At 33.4% G+C, this 21,686-nt stretch overlaps 1 long non-coding RNA gene across 1 annotated transcript in view; it reads left to right on the top strand.

The window, feature by feature from the left end:
* LOC107985648 (uncharacterized) overlaps positions 1-20,858 on the top strand; it is a 29,376-nt gene extending 8,518 nt beyond the window's left edge. The window contains exons 2-3 of the long non-coding RNA XR_001755994.3: positions 16,126-16,234; positions 17,901-20,858. This is a non-coding gene — a long non-coding RNA (uncharacterized LOC107985648). The remainder of the gene's footprint in view (positions 1-16,125; positions 16,235-17,900) is intronic.
* Positions 20,859-21,686: the final 828 nt, after the last annotated feature.

Below are 21,686 nucleotides of genomic sequence, written 5' to 3'. Positions count from 1 at the left end.
AATTGCTTACAAACTGTCCCTTGCCCCTTACAACTCTGCTGGATATGTGTTATTGAATATTATATAATATCTTCTGTCTTTTCTTGAATTATTTACAGCTAACCATACCCTCCATCAAATTCTCTCCCTTCTTTCTTCTTAAACCGTAAACTATTTTGAATGTCTTCCCACTCTTTGACCACATCATTCATGTTTGCCTTGTTGCCTGTTATTTCTCTTTACACCCCCAAATATGAGTATTGACGAGTTCCATCCTCAATTTTCTTTAAAACTCATAATATTATAAAATAAAATATGGTAGAAAACTTAAGAGTTCATCTTCTCCAATCTCCTTATAACAGAGAAATAACTTTTCCAGCTGTCAAATAGCAGAAACTATTTCCTTTATTGCAGATTCTAAACTAAATTATGCTGCACAACTCTACTCCTTCTTTGTGAATGGATGTTAACCATTCAGATTCTCCAATTTACATATAGATATATATGAAAATTACTTTATGACCTTCATCTCTAACGTGTCTTTTCCAAGTACTACAGTTTCATATTTCTGTCCCATGGGAAGTTTTCATGTATTATCTTTTAACCCCCACATTTAACAGTCCTCCTAAAAAATCTATATCTCTGTCTACATAGAACTAACTAAATCTGCTAAGTACTAAGGAACAAAGCTTCAAATTATTTTAGCTTATTTTATTTTTTCTACTTTCTATATCTAGACATCATTGTTTCTTTATTTCACCTGAGGGTTCTTAACCTGAAATCAAAGAGCCTATGGCCACAGAAAGGGAAATAGTAAGTATTTATTTTCACCGATCTTTAATCAAAATTTAGCATTTTCTTCAACAACAGATGTAGGCATCATCTCTTTAATACTTCCAATATACATTTAGTCAACAAAACCCGACAATTTTTTCCTCCGGCTATTGGCAAAAGACAACTTAGGGTCTTCAGAATACATTGACTAAAGTATTTTTAATGTTCCAAATATTGAAGAATATTCCATTCCCCTCAAAACAGTCTTAGGGAAGTATACATATGGTAGGAATCCCTCTTGCCCTTGATAACACCATCAACAGCAATGACAAGAAGAAGAAAAACCCACATTATCAAGCATCCATGTGCCAAATATTGTGCTAAACACTTGTATTATTTCATTTAATTCTCAAAACAGTGTATAAATTAGGTGCTAAAATGATTCTAATTTCAAAAATAATGAAATAAATTCAGAGAGATAAAATAGCTAGTGAAAGTGAATTGCCTAAGATCACATAGGTTTTTTCTTTTTCTGAACAGGTATTTTTTTATCTTTGTTATGTCTAAAATATAAATTTTGGACATTTAAAAGTGGTAACAGTTAATATGCCTGTGGATAATATCACAGTAAAAATTATATAAACAAAGTCAGTGATAGTTTTTCATGAATGCTCTAAAGTTCTGGCAGTATTCTCCGAGTCTATATATATATATATATATGGAGAGATGTATAATATCATGTTAGCTTATGTTCCTCTTCACAAAAATTGGACCATTTTTTGTACAAAGTGGCAGACTACATCTTAAGTACATCATGGATCATTTACTAAGTCACAAATTGTGTTTCTTAGGCTAGTTTGATTGTCATCACAAATAGAAAGCAGTGGGTATTGACAAATTATCTTCTGGGGACTTTGTAGGAGGTCAAAAATAAAACAAATCGGGGTACAATGAAAATGCTGTTAAAAAACGCAGTCATACAAACTCAGGTAGGAGCATTTGTTACGACTGGAGATTGTTAGTATGAGAATTTTCACCCAGCTTCAGGATGTCACACAAAGCTGAAAGCAACATCAAAATGCAAAGCACCAACAAAATAAGGCTTTACAAAGGATAGTAAGTGCTTGAGCTGTGATCATATAGGTTTATAGGTTACAGAGCTTGGAACTGATTTCTGTGCCACTCTCTGCTTGTCTTCAGGTAACTTTTTAAAAATATATTTTTTAAAGTGATAAAATATATGTAACATAAAATTTATCATTTTAAGACTTCGATTCTATGGCCCATTAAGTACATTCACACTGTTATGCAACCATCACCATCATCCAACTCCAGAACCTTTTCATCTTTCCTGACTGAAACTCTATACCTGTTCAACACTACTCTTTAATTCATAGAGACAGTAGAATGGTGGTTGCCAGGGAATGGAGTGAGGGTAGAATGGGGAGTTCACATAAGATAAAATGATATTACACATCTCTCTCTCTCTCTCTCTCTCTCTCTATCTATATATATATATATATATATACACACACACACACACACACATATATATCTCCATATCCATATAGATAACAAACACATATATGTATGTACTTCTATATTGACTTGGAGAATACTGCCAGTTGTTATGTGACTATCTGATTTCACTTAGTATACTGTCTTTCAGCCTCATCCATTTTGTAGTATCTGTGAGGATTTCCTTCCCTTATAAGGTTGAATAATATTCATATATATAATATATATAATATTCATATATATTACATATGTTAAGATGTGGATATTATATATACCACATCTTAGTCTGTTCATTCTTGTATAGAAACTTGGATTGCTTCCATTTTTTGCTATTGTGAATAATGCTCTTATGAACACAGGCATATAAGTATGTATTTGAGTTTCTGCTTCCATTTCTTTTGGACATATACTCAAAAGATAAATTGCTACATCATATGGTAATTTATGTTTAATTTTTTGAGGAATAGCCATGCTGTTTTTCACAGCAGTAGCATCATTTTACATTCCTGCCAGCAATGCACAAGGATTCCAATTTCTCCACATTCTTGCCAATACTTTGTATTTTCTGTTATTGATTTATTAATTGTTATAATAGCCATTCTAATGGTTGTAAATTACTAATGAGGTTTTATTTTACATTTCTCTAATGATTAATGATATTAAACATTTTTTTCATGAGTTCATTCTCCATTTGTATACAGTATTTGGACAAATGTCTATTCAATTATTTTGTCTATTTTTCAATAGGATTGTTTTCTTGTTGCTGAGTTATAGGCATTCTTCATGTATTCTGGATATCAATCCCTTTTCAGATATATGATTTGAAAATATTTTCTCTGATCCCATGAATTGCTGTTTCATTCTGGTGATAGTTCCATTTTATGCAAAAAGTTTTAATTTTGATGAGGTCCAGCTCCTTTATTTTTCCTTTTGTTGTTTGTGCATCTTTTGATATATCCAAGGAGTTATTACCAAACCCAATGTCATAAAACATTCACACTATGTTTTATTTAAACAGTTTTATAATTTCAGCTCTTACATTTAGGTCTTTGATCCAGCTTCAGCTAATTTTTGTATATGGTGTAAGATGAGGTTCCAACTTCATTCCTTTTTACATTTAAAAAAGTCATTTTATTAGTGAAGACAGTAATGTGAAATGAAACAGTTTGAAAACAGTTATATGGTTTCTTAAAATGATAAACATGTGCCTACTCTATAACCCAGCCATTCCACTCCTAGGTATTTATTATAGTTACCCAAGATAAATAAAAATATATGCTCATACAAACACTTGTACACAAATGTTCATAGCAGCTTTATTTGTAATGGATGAAAATTGAAAACAATCCAAATGTCCATCAGCAAGTTAATGGATAAATAAATTGGGGCATTTCCATTCAACGAAATTCTCTCAGCAGTAAAGAAGGAATAAAATATTGATTCACTCAATGAAATGAATGAATTGTAAAACAACTGTTCTGAGAAAAGGAAGCCAGACAAAAGAAATACATACTATATGATTACATTCATAACAAATTCTAGAAAATGCATACTAACTCATGTTGACAGAAAGCAGATTATGAGTTACCTAGGGATAGAGTGATGGGAGAAAGGGTAATAAACAAATAATTTATTATAAAGGGGCATGAGGAAACTTCTTGGGGGCCTTGAATATGTTCATAATCTTTATTTTATTTTTAACTGACATCTAATAATTGTGCATATTTATGAGGTACACAGTGATGTTTTGATACATATAATGTATAGTGAACAATCTGAGTAATTAGCATATCCATCATCTCAAACATTTATCATTTCTTTGTGTTGGAAACATTCAATATCCTCCTACCTCTAGGAGGTACCAGCCTCTAGTTAACTCTTTTCTACTGTTTACATCTCTGAGATCAACTTTTTTTTAGCTTTCAGATATAAGAACATACATAGTGTTTAACTTTCTGTTACTGTCTTATTTAACTTAACCTAACGTACTCCAGACCATCGGTGATGCCATGAATGGAAGGATTTCTTTTTATTGCTGAATGGTATTCTGTTGTGTATAACAGTTTTCCCAACACCATTTGTTGAAGAGACTATCTTTTTGATAGTCTCAAACATGATTTTTAAAAAAATCATTTGAACATATATGCAAGGGTGTATTTCTGGACTCTCTATTCTATTCAATTCGTCTATGTGTGTCTCTATACTGGTAGTACACTATTTTGATTACTATAGCTATGATGTATGTTTTTAAATCAGAAAATGTGAAACATCCAACTTTGTTCTTTCTCAAGATTTCTTGGTTATTTGGAATCCCTTGAGATTTTGTTTGATTTTTAGGATGGATTTTCGTATTTATTCAAAAAACCTCATTGAGACATTGATAGGAATTGGATTAAATCTGTAAATAGCTTTGGGTAGTATTGACATATCAACAATATTAAGTCTTGCAACCCATTAATACATATTTTTTTCCATTATTTCTGTATTTTACAATTTATTTTGGCAATGTTTTGTAGTTTTCAGTTTATAAGATTTTGATTTCTTGGTTAAGTTTATTCTTAAGTATGTTATTATTTTTGATGATATTTTAAATGGAATTACTTCTTTAACTCAGATTTGAATTGCTCATTGTTAGTGTACCAAAATGGAACTGATTTCTGGGTGCTATATTTATATCCTGCTATTTTGTTGAATTTGTATTAGTTTTACCAGTTTTTTCAGGGTAGAATCTTTATAGTTTTCTATATATAAAATAATGTCATCTGCAAACAGAGATAATTTTACTTGTTCCTTTCCAATTTAGATGCCTCTGCAGGTAACTTTTATGGAAAATCTATCATTAATCTCTAGTCATTGGGCTTCATTCTCAAAAACCCTTCTGCAGAAATGTGTCTATTTGTTTATACACTGTTTTTTAACATTATTTTTATTATTAATAACTCATTCCATTAATTCATCCAAGAACTACTTCTTATTGAAAGCCTATTATATGTCAGACACTGAGGCTCTTGTGATACACTAGTGATCCCTCTTCTCTTCTGGAAGGATCCTGCATATACTCTATCCAGAGCATAGCACCACAAAATTTGAACAAGATCATCTCTTGTGGAGACTAGAGATCCTTGAAATTGTTGGTCATTATTGTGTGATTGATAGTTTTTATTGATGTATAAATAATAGAAACACAATTTTATTTATTAGTAAGAAGGGCTCCTGACTGTATCCTGTTTTGGTGCTAAAATATTGCCAATAATTTACTCTGCCTGAATTCTAACTGTATTCATAAAATAGATGAATTTATTGTATCCAAATTTGCTTCAACGGAGTGGAAGGAAAAATATTCTCAATAAGAAAAATATCCCATTTTAATAAAGGATAATGCATATTAGAAACTACCAATGCTGGGTACCAAGCTAAAACCAATTTGAATTAGCAAGAAAGACTAAATTATAGCAATTTGAAATGAAACAGATAGCTAGGTAGATAGATAAATAGAAAGACATAGTTATATGCAGATAGCTTTCCGATATATATGTGTATATATATATACACATAATTGCATTTTTATTTAAAAATTTTATGTATAAGTTCTACAAAATCCTAGTTCAAGAAACAGATAAGACAGTTATGATTGACCTAATTGGTGACTTGCAAATAAATGATGCATTTAAGACAGCTTACTTTTTTTCACTTTTTATTTATTTTTTATTTTTTTCTTTTTATTATTATTATTATTATACTTTAAGTTCTAGGGTACATATGCACAATGTGCAGGTTTGTTACATATGTATACATGTGCCATGTTGGTGTGCTGCACCCATTAACTTGTCATTTACATTAGGTATATCTCCTAATGCTTTCCCTCCCCCCTCCCCCCATCAATGATAGACTGGATTAAGAAAATGTGGCACATATACACCATGGAATACTATGCAGCCATAAAAAAGGATGAATTCATGTCCTTTGTAGGGACATGGATGAAGCTGGAAACCATCATTCTCAGCAAACTATTGCAAGAACAAAAAACCAAACACCGCATGTTCTCACTCATATGTGGGAATTGAACAATGAGAACACTTGGACAGCTTACTTTTAAGTAAGATAAATATTCTTCTTTCTGTCTCATTTACACTTCTAGTTTGCTAAAACAGAATATTAATTATCTAAACACAATGTTAAATTTAGTTAATCTAACTATGACAGTGTAGAGTGATAAATAAAAGCATCAGCTTTCTCAGTAAGAAATATTGAAGAGCTCAAGTGTTGCCTTTACCACTTACTAGGCATTTGATCTTGGGCAATTTACTGACCTTATTGTGCCTCCATTGCCTTACTTCTAAAGTCAGGAAAATACTACCACCTTCCATACTGGGCCATTAGGATAAATAAATAGATTTGAAGCACTTAGGACAATAACCAATGAATCGTAAGTGCTCAATAAATACTAACCACTATTTGTAGTTATTTTGCAATCACTTGAGACTAAATGATGCATTATCTTAATTTGAGTTTTAGTTCTGCCCAGAGAATGGAGAACATATATTTTCAAAATCATTTGGTCAGATTTCTTTAGAGTTATTTTAGAAACGTTTTCAATCCAAGGAATATTGAAAAACTGCAAAGGCTTCTATTTTACTAGGTTTTTCTTCTAGTGTTTTCTTTGATACATGGTATATCATTTATAAAATTACAATTGCCTTATCCTCCAGTTGCTTATAATGCAAATAAGACATTTGACCAAATATCTCAATTTTGCAGGCCACCATATGAATTTTGTTTTACTGCCAATCAAACTGCACCACATTATTCATTGGTTCCACTCAAATGTTTTCCACAATCAGTCTAGTTAGTACCTTTGGCCTTCAAAGCAAATTAAAGTAATGGACAAGTTTCTTTGATAGGTTAATTAAGCCACACTGATCTAAAGCTGGTTTCTGAAAGGTTTTCTTTTTATGTTTTAGTCATTCAGTTTAAAAGGAGAAAAATTCAAATCAAAACATCAAACTTGATAATGCAAAATGTGTTTTGGGTTCAAAGATTGGGCATTTATGACCAGGCATGGTGGCTCATTCCTGTAATCCTAATGCTTTAGAAGGCCAAGGTAGGCGATTGCCTGATCCCAGGAGTCAAATACCAGCCTGGGAAACATGGTGAAACCCAGTTTCTACAAAAAATACAAAAATTAGCCAGGGGTAGTGGTGCACACCTGTAGTCCCAGCTATTCAGGAGGCTGAGGCAGGAGGATCTCTGCAGCCCAGGAAGTCAAGGTTGCAGTGAGCAGAGATCACGCCACTGCACCCCAGCCTGGGGCAACAGAGTAAGACTCTGTCGCAGAAAAAAAAAAAAAAAGGATTGCGCATTTCTATAAGTCTTTATACAACTACAGACACTCAGAATGTTAGAGCCAGAAGCAACTTAGGGCTTATCTAGCCTAACCCTCTTATTTATATTTTGCAATATTGAGATCTACGGAGGACAAGAAAAAGGTCTAGAGAAAAATCTATGTCTCTTAAGTCCCAATTATTTTAAATCTCTACCTTTTATTAGTACTTTTATTAAGAACCTGGAAAACATTCATGTGTGAGGGTGTGCACAGGTGTGTCTGTTTTGTCTTCATAATTATTTTATAGATTTATAAAAGGCTTATGACTATCTAGTGCCTAAATCCATTGGCTCACAATGCAATGAGGGTCTCTGTATTAGATCCTTCATTCCTAGACTTGACGTTTTTATAATTATATCACCAATGGGGTTAGAAATATAGAATAACAAATAATCTAGTGCCTAAATCAGTTGGCTCCTAATGCAATGAGGGTCTCTGTATTAGATCCCTCAGTCTCAGTCTTGACGTTTTTATAATTATATCACTAACGGGGTTAGAATAACAGAAGCTTCAGCTCCAGTACACCACAGAAGGACTGAAACCTCATTCTGCACCCATCTAGTCTAGGTGTGGGCCCACTAGTGCACATAAGCCAGAATCCAAGCACTATGATTATTGTGCTTTACATATAAGCAAGCCCTTTTGGCCCTTACTTGGATCAGATTAACTTTCACTTTAGACACAAAGCAAAGGTATTTGTTTTTGTTTTTAACTTTTATTTTAAGTTCAGGGGTACATGTGCAGGTTTGTTACATAGGTAAAGCTGTGTCACTGGAGTTTGTTATACTGTTTATTTCATCACCCAGGTATTAAGCCCAGCACCCATTAGTTATTTGTCCTGATCCCCTCCCTCCTCGGAGCCTTCTCCCTCCTATAGGTCCAGTGTGTGTTTCTCCTCTCTATGTGTCCATGTATTCTCATCATTTAGCTCCCATATACAAGTGAGAACATGTGATATTTAGTTTTCTGTTCCTGCTTTAGTTTGCTTGGGGTAATGTTCTCCAGCTCAATAAGTTTCCCTGCAAAGGACATTATCTCATTCCTTTTTATGGCTGCATAGTATTCCATGGTGTATATGTACCACATTTCCTTTATCTAGCCTATCATTGATGGACATATAGGTTGATTCCATGTCTTTGCTATTGTGAATAGTCCTACAATGAACATATGTGTGCAAGTGTCTTTATAATAGAAATATTTATATTCCTTTGGGTATACACCCAGTAATGGGATTTCTGGGTCGATTAGTATTTCTGTCTTTAGGTCTTTGAGGAATCGCCACGCTGTCTTCCACAATGGTTGAACAAATTTACACTTCCACTAACAGGCTATATGCATTCTTTCTATCCCACAACCTCACCAGCATCTATTATTATTATTATTATTATTTTACTTTTTAATCATAGCCATTCTGACTGGTGTGAGATGATATGTCACTGTGGTTTTGATTTGCATTTCTCTTGTGATCAGTGATGTTGAGCTTTTTTACATATGATCATTGGCCACGTGTATGTCTTCTTTTGAAAAGTGTCTACTAATGTCCTTTGCTCAGTTTTTAATAGAGTTCCATTGGAAAATCTTATGAACATCTCTATGCACATAAACTAGAAATTCTAGAGGAAATGGGTAAATTCCTGAACATATACACTCTTCCAAGACTGAACCAGGAAGAAATTAAATCCCTGAACAGACCAAAAATAAGATCTGAAATTGAGGCAGTAATTAATAAATAGCCTATTAATGAAAACAAGCCCAGGACCAGACAGATTCATAGACGAATTCTACCAGATGTACAAAGAAGAGCTCTTACCATTCCTACTGAAACTATTCCAAAAATAGAGGAAGAGGGACTCCTCCCTAAATCATTCTATGAGGTCAGCATCATTCTGATACCAATACCTGGCAGACATCCAACAACAACAACAAAAAAACTTTGGGCCAATATCCTTGATGAATATCGGTGCAAAAATACTCAACAAAATACTAGCACACCAAATCCAGCAGCACATCAAAAAGCTTATCCATCATGGTCAACTAGGCTTTGTCTCTAGGATGCAAGGTTGGTCCAACATATGCAGATCAAAAAAATGTGACTCATCACATAAACAGAACTAAAGACAAAAACCACATAATTATCTCAATAGAGGTAGAAAAGGCTATTGATAAAATTCAACATCTATTCATGTTAAAAAAAACTCTCAATATACTAAGCATTGAATGAAAACAAAAAATAATAAAAGCCATGTAAGACAAACCCACAGCCAACATCATACTGAAAAAAGCTGGAAGCATTCTCCTTAAAAACTGGCACAAGACAAGGATGCCCTCTCTCACCACTCATATTCAAAATAGGGTTGAATTTTTTGGCCTGGGCAATCCGGGGAGACAATGAAATAAAGGGCATTCAAATAGGAAGAGAGGAAGTCAAACTATCCCTGTCTGCAGACAACATGATCCTATATCTAGAAAACCCCATAGTCTCAGTCCAAAAGCTTCTTAAGCTAATAAACAACTTCGGCAAAGTCTCAGGATAAAAAATCAATGTAGAAAAATCACTAGGATTCCTATACACTAACGACAGTCAAACCATGAGCCAAATCAGAAACAAACTTCCATTCACATTTGCCACAGAAATAATAAAATACATAGGAATACAGCTAAAATGGGAAGAACTACAAACAACTGCTCAAGAAATCAGAGATGACACAAACAAATGGAAAGACATTCCATGCTCATGGACAGGAAGAATCAATATCGTTAAAATGGCCATACTGCCCAAAGCAATTTATAGATTCAATGCTATTCCTATGAAACTACCATTGACATTCTTCACAGAACTAGAAAAAAAAATTCAAAGTTCATATGGAAGCAAAGAAGAGCCAGAATAGCCAAGGCAATCCTAAGCAAAAAGAACAAAGCTGGAGACATCACAGTACCTGACTTTATACTACAGGACACGGTAACCAAAACAACATGGTACTGGTACAAAAACAGACATACAAACCGACGGAGCAGAATAGATAACCCAGAAATAAGATCGCACATCTCCAACCATCTGATCCTCAACAAACCTGACAAAAACAAGCAATAGTGAAAGGATTCTCTATTTGATAAGTGGCTCTGAGATAACTGGCTAGCCATATGAAGGAAATTGAAACCAGACCCCTTTCTTATACCATAAACAAGAAGTAGCTCAAGATGGATTAAAGAGTTAAATGTAAAGCTGGACCTTATTAAATGGATAAATAATGATTAACACCTTGTTAGGAAAGGAAACCAGAAAAACTAAAACTAAATCAAATGTATCGTTTTAAAAATTTATCCATTTAATAAGGTCCAGCTCCAACAAATATCTCATTTTTCAGTAGTTCCTTTGAGTCTCATAAATACTGTAATAATTAATGTTAAAGCAATAATTTGAGGCTATTAGGAAAGCACTGAATTATGTACCTTTTTTCCTCTATACAGCAAGCCCAAGAGCATAAAATAGGTTTAAGAAGCCCCAAATGGTTAAAGTAAATAAGCCAAACTGAAAGAGTGCTTCAGCTATAAAAGATAAAATTCACTTGGGTATATTATCAACATACTAATTTCTTTTGCTTTGGATATATATTCACTAGTGGGATTGCTGGATCATATGGGAGTTCAATTTGTAGTTTTCTGAGGAACTTTCATATTGTTCTCCATAGTGGCTGTACTAATTTACCTTCCCACCAACAGTGTGTAAGAGTTCCCCCTTCTTCACATCCTTGCCAGCATTTATTATTTTCTGACTTTCTGATAATAACTATTCTAACTGTGGTGAGGCTATGTTTATTGCAGCACTATTCACATAGCTAAGATATGGAACCAACCTAAGTGTCCATCAACATATAAATGGACAAAGAAAATGTGATATATATATTATATATATGTAATATATAATATATATATTAGAATACTATTCAGCTATACAAAAGAACAAAATCCTGTCATTTGTAACAACATGGCTAAACCTGGAGAACATTATGTTAAGTGGAATAAATCTTGCACAGGAGGACAAATACCACATGATCTCATTCATATGTAGAATCTTAAAAAGTTTATCTTATACAAATAGAAATTAGAATAGTGGTTAGAGAAGGTAGGGTGTATTAGTCTGTACTCGCACTGCTATGACATACATGACACTGGGTAATTTATGAAGAAAAAGATTTCATTGACTCACAATTCCACAGGCTGTATGTGAAGCATGGCTGGGAGACCTCAGGAAACTTACAATCATGGCAGAAGGAGAAACTGAAGCAAACACGTCTTACCATGACGGAGCAGGAGAGAGCAAAGGGGGAACTGCTACACACTTTTAAACAACCAGATCTCATGAGAACTCATTCACTATCACGAAAACAGCTAGGGGGAACCGCCCCTATGATTAATCACCTCCCACTGGGCCTGTCCCCCAACACGTGGGGATTACAATTCGACGTGAGATTTGGATGGGGACACAGAGCCAAACCATATCATAGGGAGAAGGATGGGGAAAGGCTGGTCAATGAGCACGATGTCACAGTTAGATAGGAAGAATAAATTCTGGAGTTTCATTGCATGAAACAGTCAGATGAATATAGTTAACTATAATGTAGTTTATATTTTTAAATAGCTAGAAGAGAAGATATGGGATATTCCCAACACAAAGAAATAATGTTTAAGGATATAAATATGCTAATTATCCTCATTTTATTATTACAGAGTTTACACATGTATTGCAACATTACACTCTACCCCATATATATGCGCAATTATTATGTACCAATTCATTTTTTAAAAAAGAGAGAAAACATGGAAAACTTCAACATGGAAAAATGCCTTAATTTCCAGTGATTCCCAATAAATATGGATAAATTGTGTGCTACTGTGAGTCTATTATTCATTATATATGTACATATTGAGAGGGGGATGGAGATTGAATGATCATGTACACTATTTTACTATTTTAAATGGTCTTTCGAAAGAAATACACATAAATACAAGACGAAATCATTAATTGTATATCATAGCCAACTTTTTTGATTCACAGGTCAAGCAATTATGACTTGGATAAAACAAGTAAATTTGAAAGTGAATTCCATTTAGACTCAGTCTATGGAACAATAGGGGAATTAAGCACAATGTTGCTTAAAGCCAACTCTCCTAAGTTCTGCAAATGACAGTAAACCAAAAGAAGAAATAAGAAAGAAAAAAGTACTTTGTACTTACAAACATTTCTTCATGAATTCTAAGTAAACTATGATTCTGTCACAGCTATACACATGTCGACAATAACTATGGTGAGGAATTATTTTTAGACCTAATACAGTATTTGTTTAGCAAGAGAGGCTGATTCAGGTCAATTGGTAGTCAGATGTGTTGTGTAACCTACATGGAAGATGTATAGAAAAAAGTAATTTAAACAATGTGGTTATAAACTGTATGATTGTGATTTCCCACCACATCATAGCAATCAACTCTAGTCAATCCCCCCTCTATAATATAATTTTGACCTGTCCCCTATTTTCATTATTTATACCATTAATATCTTCGTTTAAGGTCCTCCTCATTTTTATTTGGAATTTAGAAGTAGATTCCTATTTTCTCCATCTACAATCTCCCCCCACTCTAATTAATCCTACATTCCTCTACAGTATTAATATTTTAAAACAAATCTAATCAAATCACCCTTGTATACAAAAGCTTTCATTTGTTTTCCATTGACTTCTAAATAAATCCGTGTCTTATTTTGGTTTTCAAAAATGTGTACTTATTAATCCTAAACTACATTTGGTTTTGCACCTCCCACATTTTCCTTTTTGTTCCAGCAAACACTGGTAAGATTTTCACACACACCACACTGTTAACTGCCTTCATATCTTTTCTCTTTTTGTTACTTCCATTTAAAATATTGCGCCTCCATCTGGCAAATATTTCCTCATCCTTTAAAACTCAGGCCATGTGTCAGCTTCTTTTCAGACTTGTTCTTTGACTCTGTCAAGATATATCAGGTTCCCTGTTTGTATAATTACATTAATACAAACTACAATTATTGAACTTTCCATATTTAATTATAATTCTTGATTAGTCTCTCTCTCCTATAAGAAAATTACCTGAGGCAGGAGACTGTATAGTATTTACCTTTATACTTTCAATACCCCATATATATTAGGTATTCATTAAATGTTAATTGTGTGAATAAATGCAGATGCTTTTGACATCTATTTATGCAGCCTAAAACTCTCTGGACACCAGTTATACCTTTCCACATGCTTCAGGTCATCTTTTGCCAGCACTACAAATTTAAAATAAACCAAATTTACCTCCTATTCTCTTATTTACCAAAACTACTAGTTTATTTTTGTATTTTCCATCACTATTAATGATACTGCTATACTCCCAGTTCTCCAGGTTCAGCATTTTAGAAGCATGTTGTCTGCATGATGTACCTACAGAAAGCATTTTTCACATTTGTTCTATCTTTTTCATTTGTGTTGCTTTTGCTTGAATTCACACCCGTAATATCTCTCATATGGACCATCACAAAAGCTCCCTAATTGCCGCCACACCCTCCCTTCTGCTTCTATTTCAAACTCTCAAATCTATCATTTATACTTCTGAAAGATTAATTTTTCTAAAGCAAAATGCTATCACATCACTCCCTGCTGGAAAACTTCAGTGAGTCTTATTACCTAGAGTAAGGAGTTCTACTTCCTAAGGCTTATACTTAAAGGTCTCCACTGTCTATCCTTCAGGACCTACCTCAACTACAACAATACATGTATCAAATAATTTAGCTAAATAATGCTGCCTACTAGTTTCCAAATATGCCCTGCACTTTCCTTTATTCCTGTACCTTTTCATCTTTTCCCATGCAGTTTTCTGTCTGCCAAATATGTCGTTTGGTCTTTAATTGCTCAAAGCTTTAAAGACCTGCAGAAATTCTACATCTTTCACAGAACCTTCCTTGATCCTCACAGGTGAAAGCAAACTTTTTTTCTTCTATTGTAACGTTTTCCTCACTATGCTTCTTATTATACTCATCATATTCTACCTTCTCTTTTAGTAATGAATTGCCATCTCCCTTGCTTGACTGTAAGCACCTTGAAGGGAGAATTCATGTCTGATTTTATGTTTTTATTTTTATTTTACATGACACCTATAATATTTTGAATGATCAATAAGTATTGGTTGAAAGTAAATCTGAATGTGTTTATCAAAATGCAAAATACTGTTATAATATTAAGATAATATGTTAGAGATAACAGCTAGAAGCAGAGGAGAGTTGCAATCATGTTGATAATCTTTTAGATACATCTACTCATTCACATATGACAGAATATATGCAATACAACAGCAGGTTATAATTGATAGAATACACTTGAAGAAATATGTAACCTTTTAAATGCCACTAGTACAGGCTTTAGATTTCTCTGCTTAAATGTTTACCAGTAAATAACCATTTTAAATCAGTGTGGCAAGGGGAAATAAAGACAATTTTTAAGGTTTATACTCTATATCATTTTTCATTGTTTATGTTCGCTACAGAATAGTAAAAAGAGACGCATAAAAGTGGCATGTATTTATATAACATGTCATGAAATATATGTATCTAATATATGCATACTTTAGTACATATGAAATTGCAATTGTAAAGCAATTATAAAGTAAAATAAAATGCTACTTTCTCAGTTAATCATTGCTAGCTTCATTAATATGTATGGATCCATTCGTAGTTGTTAAATTTGCAGTTGATCCCCACCACTAGATTTAAGCTCTTCAAGATACTACTTTTGCATTACTCTTAAGCAAAACTGGGTCCAGAGCTGCTTAATAATTGTTAGTTGACCAAATGCACAATGAAGTGGTCTTTTAGATAGGATCATAAATCTTTTATCCCCCTCAATGTGTCTTCCGTTTGTTTTATAGTGCACTGTAGTCATGTGCCTGGTATAGCCTATAACTCACTAGAAGGTTGTGTTCATGATTTTCTTTAATCGTAGCATTTGTAATTAGAGTTTTTCAAGTTTCCAGAGATATGACATTTCTTTCTAAACTTTGAGCTATGTGGCAGCTTGAATCATTTAACATTGTGCCTTAGTTTTGCTTGGGTCATATTGAAATATCTCTGTAGTACTTCCAGGATTGCATTAAGCAACATACTAAATATGTACTGTTAACATTGTAAGGAAACATGAGGATTAATGTTGACATAACAATGCTAATGTTTTGTAAAAGGAAAATTCCTATAGATTTTTTATTAATTGTTTGATACTTGAAACTTTATAAGGGCCTGAATTTCATTAAATAACCTTAATATGGCACAACTAGTGAATTTTACATTTTGCAATTATGGCTATAGGAATCTCATGGGAGAAAATAATGGAGGTTTCTTAACATATATCAACATAGTGTCATCTGGGAAATGCATTTTATTAATGATTTAATTTCTTATTTTTTCACAGGATTTGAGGTTCCAATTAAAACTGTGTTTGGGCCATTGCATTACTGCCTGCTAGTGCTTAATCTTCACCGAAAATCTCGTCACTTATTTTAAAACAAAAGAAGAACAAAGTAAGGAGAAAAGTAATGAAATGCAGCATAACAAATCATTCAAAGTAAAGGGAAGTAGCTTTTTAAAAACGATCTAGGATCAGTGACATTCAGAAATTATTTGCTGAACACTAAATGTGTTCAAGTGTGGCATCTCAATTCCAAGGACTCTATGTCTTCTCTTATGAAATGAACCACGTAGGCTTTTTTTTTCCTTCTTTGCTGTTGCAGTAGCCTAAGGTAACTATTACTGATGTTACTGATATACCTCAAATAGTAATGTGAATTACAAAATGAATCTTCTTCTTTAACTAATGGAGATTCTGTGATGCTCTGGTGCTGAAATGATGAGTATAATCAACATTCTAAAATGCTATTCTTTAAAAATGTGCACAATTTTATTGTTATTCTCATAAAACACCATGTCCACATTTGCTTATACCATGGGATCATACTTAACAGCTTTCTGTCCAATCCATCACAATGTCCTTTAACTCTCTTGTTGTTAATCCATCCTTTTTGAAATACTTAGTCTGACAGTTCTTTCCAGTGTTGTGTCTCACTAAGTAAAACTGCCTATATCAGAGGAATGATATAATCAGAGATGTCATTTACAGATACAGTATCAGTCTGTAAATCCAAACACAATGAAACATACACATTTGAAAGGAAAGCATAAAAGTATCTATGCTTTTACCTTGTAGTCTCTAATAATATTTTCATTAAAGTAAAAACTTGAATACATAATTATTTGCAACAAAAGATCACTCCCAAATGAACTGATATGAAATGCTTATATTCATACCAACTAGGACTGACTTATGAAAGAATAAAAATACCTTATTAATTCTGAATTGTCAATGTATAAACAAGTACAGCTTTGTCTATAGTAATGGTAACGTTATGAATTTTTTTGAACCTGTTAGTTTTAGACTGAACTATACTTTTGGATCTCTCTATAAGTCCCATCATGTGCAAGAAGATTTAAAGACTATATATTATTCATTTCTATATCTTAACCCTCCCTTTAGGGTCTATCAAAGTGCCTGTGCTTCTTAAATGATAGAAAGGAGGGAGTGAGAGAGCAAGGGAGAGAATAATTATGCTTCACAGGGGCCAAGGAAATGTTCCATTGTCCTTTTTAAAAAAGATTTACTGTATATTTATAGGAATTAAGGATTTCAATAAAATGTTTTCAAGTTTAAATTTTCTTTCTTATGCTAGTTTCCACTTAAGAGGCTGTTAATGAGCTATGCCCATGTTCATCATTAATTTATCAGCATCTTCTTTCGTGTATTTAACTCTCATTTAAGCCCCAGATCACAGCTGCTGAGAGCACCAATGGGAAAAGTTTAACAAACAGCATTCCATGCTACTTTCTATTTAAATAAATATTTATTTTATTCTATTTTGAAAAGTTAACTTAAATGAGATTCACCTTGTAAGTTCACTGTAACCTTTTTAGTTGTTCTATCATAAAATAAATCCATCTTCATACGATATAATTTACTATTATCAGAAATGTTATCACTGCTCAGATGTTTATGAGGTATAATGGTAGCTGGTTTATGTGTTGCTTCTTTGTATATCACCTAGTCTTAAGACTTCAAACTAGTACTTTGTCTTACTAATTCTCATATTTTTCTATAAGGTAAAAACAAATACAATGTCATTGTCCTCTCTTTAGGATGAAGTAAAGAACAACGCCGAGTCTATGTCTTCCACAGATCACCATTTAAGTTAAGTTTATCAAATTTGTGTTGATTACTTATTTCATTCTAGGCAATGCCTCTAGGTTTGGGGATATAGGATGAATAAAACATGACTTTTATCATCTTGGATCATACAATTATTGAGGAAGCCAAGCATGTATATCATTTGAATACGATCTGTTGAGCATTCTGAAAGAGATCTTTGCAACATGGTATTGGAAACTTAAAGAGGGAGATTCAACCCACCTTGGCAGGGAGGTTAAGCCAATGAAAAGACACTTGAAAAGATAATGCCTAAGCTATCAAAAAATGAGTGGAAAACAGCCAGGCAAAAAAAAAAAAAAAAAGATGCAGAGTTTTATAGAACAGCAGGAAGAAGAGTACAAAGGCACAGATATAATTAAAATGAAGGTCATCTCCCTTGGTGTGTGATATGGCAATAAAACAAGAATATTTCCTGAAGAAAAAGGAAGGTTTCCTGAATGAGTTAAAAGTTGATAGAAGTCTTAAAGCATCAGTATGAGTGATCCAAATAAAGATGTAGGACAGAATGTTTTCTAAGTGGAAAACATAACATTTGAAACTAGTGTTTGTTTATAACCTTGCTGGACATCCATTTGCAAGGCATAAATCAAAATGAATTTAAGAATCAATGGTCTTTTTTTCTTTTCTCTACATTGTAAGTAGATGATGCATTTATTCCCACTTCTTTATACTCTGGGAAAGTCATAGAAACATAAAATTGTAAAAGTGAAGGAAATTTACTTACTACCATATTCATATCCCCATTTTCTGGATGATGAAACTGAAGCTCAAAGGGTTGATGCAACTTGTTCAAGGGTAAGCCATTTGTTATTTGTAGAGCCTTGATAAGATCCAATATCCTTTGTATCAGCTGGAATACTTGAAAACTGAAGCATTTTAATATTCCTTCCCTCAATTCAAGTGGATAGCCATTAGAGCAGTACAGTATACTGGTTAACAGTGCTGGTTCTAAAGTTGAAATATCTGCTTTTCACCACTTAGGTGCCAAGTGACTTTAGGCAAGTGATATAATGTTTTTGCTTCAGATTCCTCATCCACAAAGCGATACTTAATAATGTAAAGTGCTTAGATCAATGCTTAGCACATAGTAAGCATTATATAAGTGTGCTATTATTATCTGTATTTAGGTAGTCAAATATTAACATGTGCATAGATTATGGTGTGGATAATCTTGCAAATGAGTCCACTATCCAATTTTTTTAGAATATGTTAAAATGACTACCACATTGCCAATTTAATCAAAACCTTTTTGATTTATTTTTTTTCTTAATTTCCACTTTCATTTTAGATACAGGGGTACATGTGCAGGGTTGTTATATGGGTATATTTCACCGATCTAGTGAGCATATGTATTAGTCCATTCTGACATTGCTATAAATAAATACCCGAGAGTGGGTAATTTATAAAGGAAAGGGGTTTAATTGGCTCATGGTTCTGTAGGCAGGCTGCACAGGAAGCATGATGGCATCTGCTCAGCTTCTGAGGAGGTATTTAAAAAAACTTACAATTATGGTAGAAGGCAAAGGGGGAACAGGCATGTCACATGGCTAGAGCAGGAGCAGGAGAGAGTGGAGGGAGGTGCTATATTCTTTTAAAGGACCAGATCTCATGAGAACTCACTCACTATCATGAATACAGTACCATTAGGGTGCTGTTGCTAAATGAATGATGCTAAGCTATTCATGAGAAATCCTCCTCCATGATCCAATCATCTCTCAACAGGCCCCGCCTCCAACACTGGGGATTACATTTCGACATGATATTTGGGTGGGACATCCAAACCATATCAACATAGAAACCAATAGGTAGTTTTTCAACCCACACCCCCTTCCCTAACTTCCCTCACTAGTAGTCTGCGGTGCCTATTGTTCCCATGTTTATGTTGCCACGTGCTCAATGTTCAGCTCCCACTTTTAAGTGAGAACATGCAGTATTTGATTTTCTGTTTCTACATTTATTTGTTTAGGATTATGGCCTCCAGTTCCATCCATGTTGCTGCAAAGGAAAAGATTTCATTACTTTTTGTATTCCATCGTGTGTATGAACCACATTTTATTTATCCAATCTATCATTGTTGGGCACCTAGACTGATTGCACATCTTTGTCATTGTGAATAGTGCTGCCATGAACATGCATGTGTCTTTTTGGTATAATTATCTCTCTCCTTTTGGGAGTATGACTACTAATAGGATTGCCAGGTCAAATAGTAGCTGTGTTTTAAGTTCTTTGAGAAATCTCCAAACTATTTTCCACAGTGGCTAAACTAATTTACATTGCCTCCAACATTATATAAGCATTCCCTTTTCTCTGCAACGTGTCGACATCTGTTGTATTTTTTGACTTTTTAATAATAGCCCTTGTGACTGGTGTGAGATGGCATCTCATTGTGGTTTTTATTTGCATTACTCTGATGATTAGGATGGTGATCTTCTTTTCATATGTTTGTTGTCTTCTTTTGGGAAGTGTCTGTTCATGTCCTTTGCCCATTTTTTATTGTGGTTCTTTGGTTTTTGCTTGTTGATTTGTGTAAGTTTCTTATTGATTCTGCATATTACATAATCCCATTTACAATATCCACAAAAAATGTAATAACTAGGAATACAGCTAACCAAGGAGGTGAAAGATCTCTACAATGAGAATTACAAAACACGGCTGAAAGAAATCGGATATGACACAAATAAATAGAAAAACATTCCGTGCTCATGGATTAGAAAAATCAATATCATTAAAATGGCCATACTGCACAAAGAAATTTAAAGATTCAATTTTATTCCTATCAAACTGCCAATGTCATTCTTCACAGAATTAGAAAAAAACTATTCTAAAATTCATATGTAACCCCAAAAGACCCTGAATAACCAAAGCAATCTTAAACTAAAAGAAAAAAAGCCAGAGACATCACATTACCCAACTTCAAGCTATACTGTAAGGTGATAGTGACCAAAGTAGCATGGTACTGGTACAAAACAGACACATAGACCAATGGAACAGAATAAAACATTCAGAAATAAAGCTGCACAACTACAACCATCTGATCTTCAATGAAGTCGACAAAAACAAGCAATGATGAAAGCAATGAAACTGGACCCTTACTTTTCACCATATGCAAAAATTAACTCAAAATGCATTAAAGATTTAAATATATGATTTTAAACTTTAAAAAGCTGTAGAAGAAAGCCTAGGATATACCTTTGTTAACATCGGCCTTGGCAAAGAAATTTTGGCTAAGACCCCAAAAGCAATTGCAACAAAAACAAAAATTGACGAGTGAGACCTAGTTACACCCTAAAGAGCTTGTGCACAGCCAAATAAACTTTCAACAGAGTAAACAAACAACTTGAAGAATGAGAGAAAATATTCACAAACTATGCATCCAACAAAGGTCTATAATGTTTTAGAACTGCCACATGCACAGTATCAAAATTATATTATTTCTTAATTGTCATCATTAATGGAAAACAGTAAATTTTTACAAATTAAGTAATATGAAATACTAGCTAAGGGATACTAGATTAAGAATTGGAAATCTACCTAATACTTTTAAATGTAAAAAAATTACTACTTTAAGCAAAATTGCCCAAAAACATCTGTTTATTGTATAAGGATATAGAAATGGCTGTGTGACATTGTATCAGATCCCAGTCTTATGTTCCAAAAACCCTATTATGCAAACACCACAACAAATTAAATCTGAAAGCAAAGTGACATAATTATTT

This window comes from Homo sapiens, chromosome X (assembly GCF_000001405.40).
Source record: "Homo sapiens chromosome X, GRCh38.p14 Primary Assembly".
Classification (NCBI taxonomy): Eukaryota; Metazoa; Chordata; class Mammalia; order Primates; family Hominidae; genus Homo; species Homo sapiens.
Note: the sequence above shows the minus strand (reverse complement) of the source record. Positions and strands in the feature narration are given on the sequence as shown.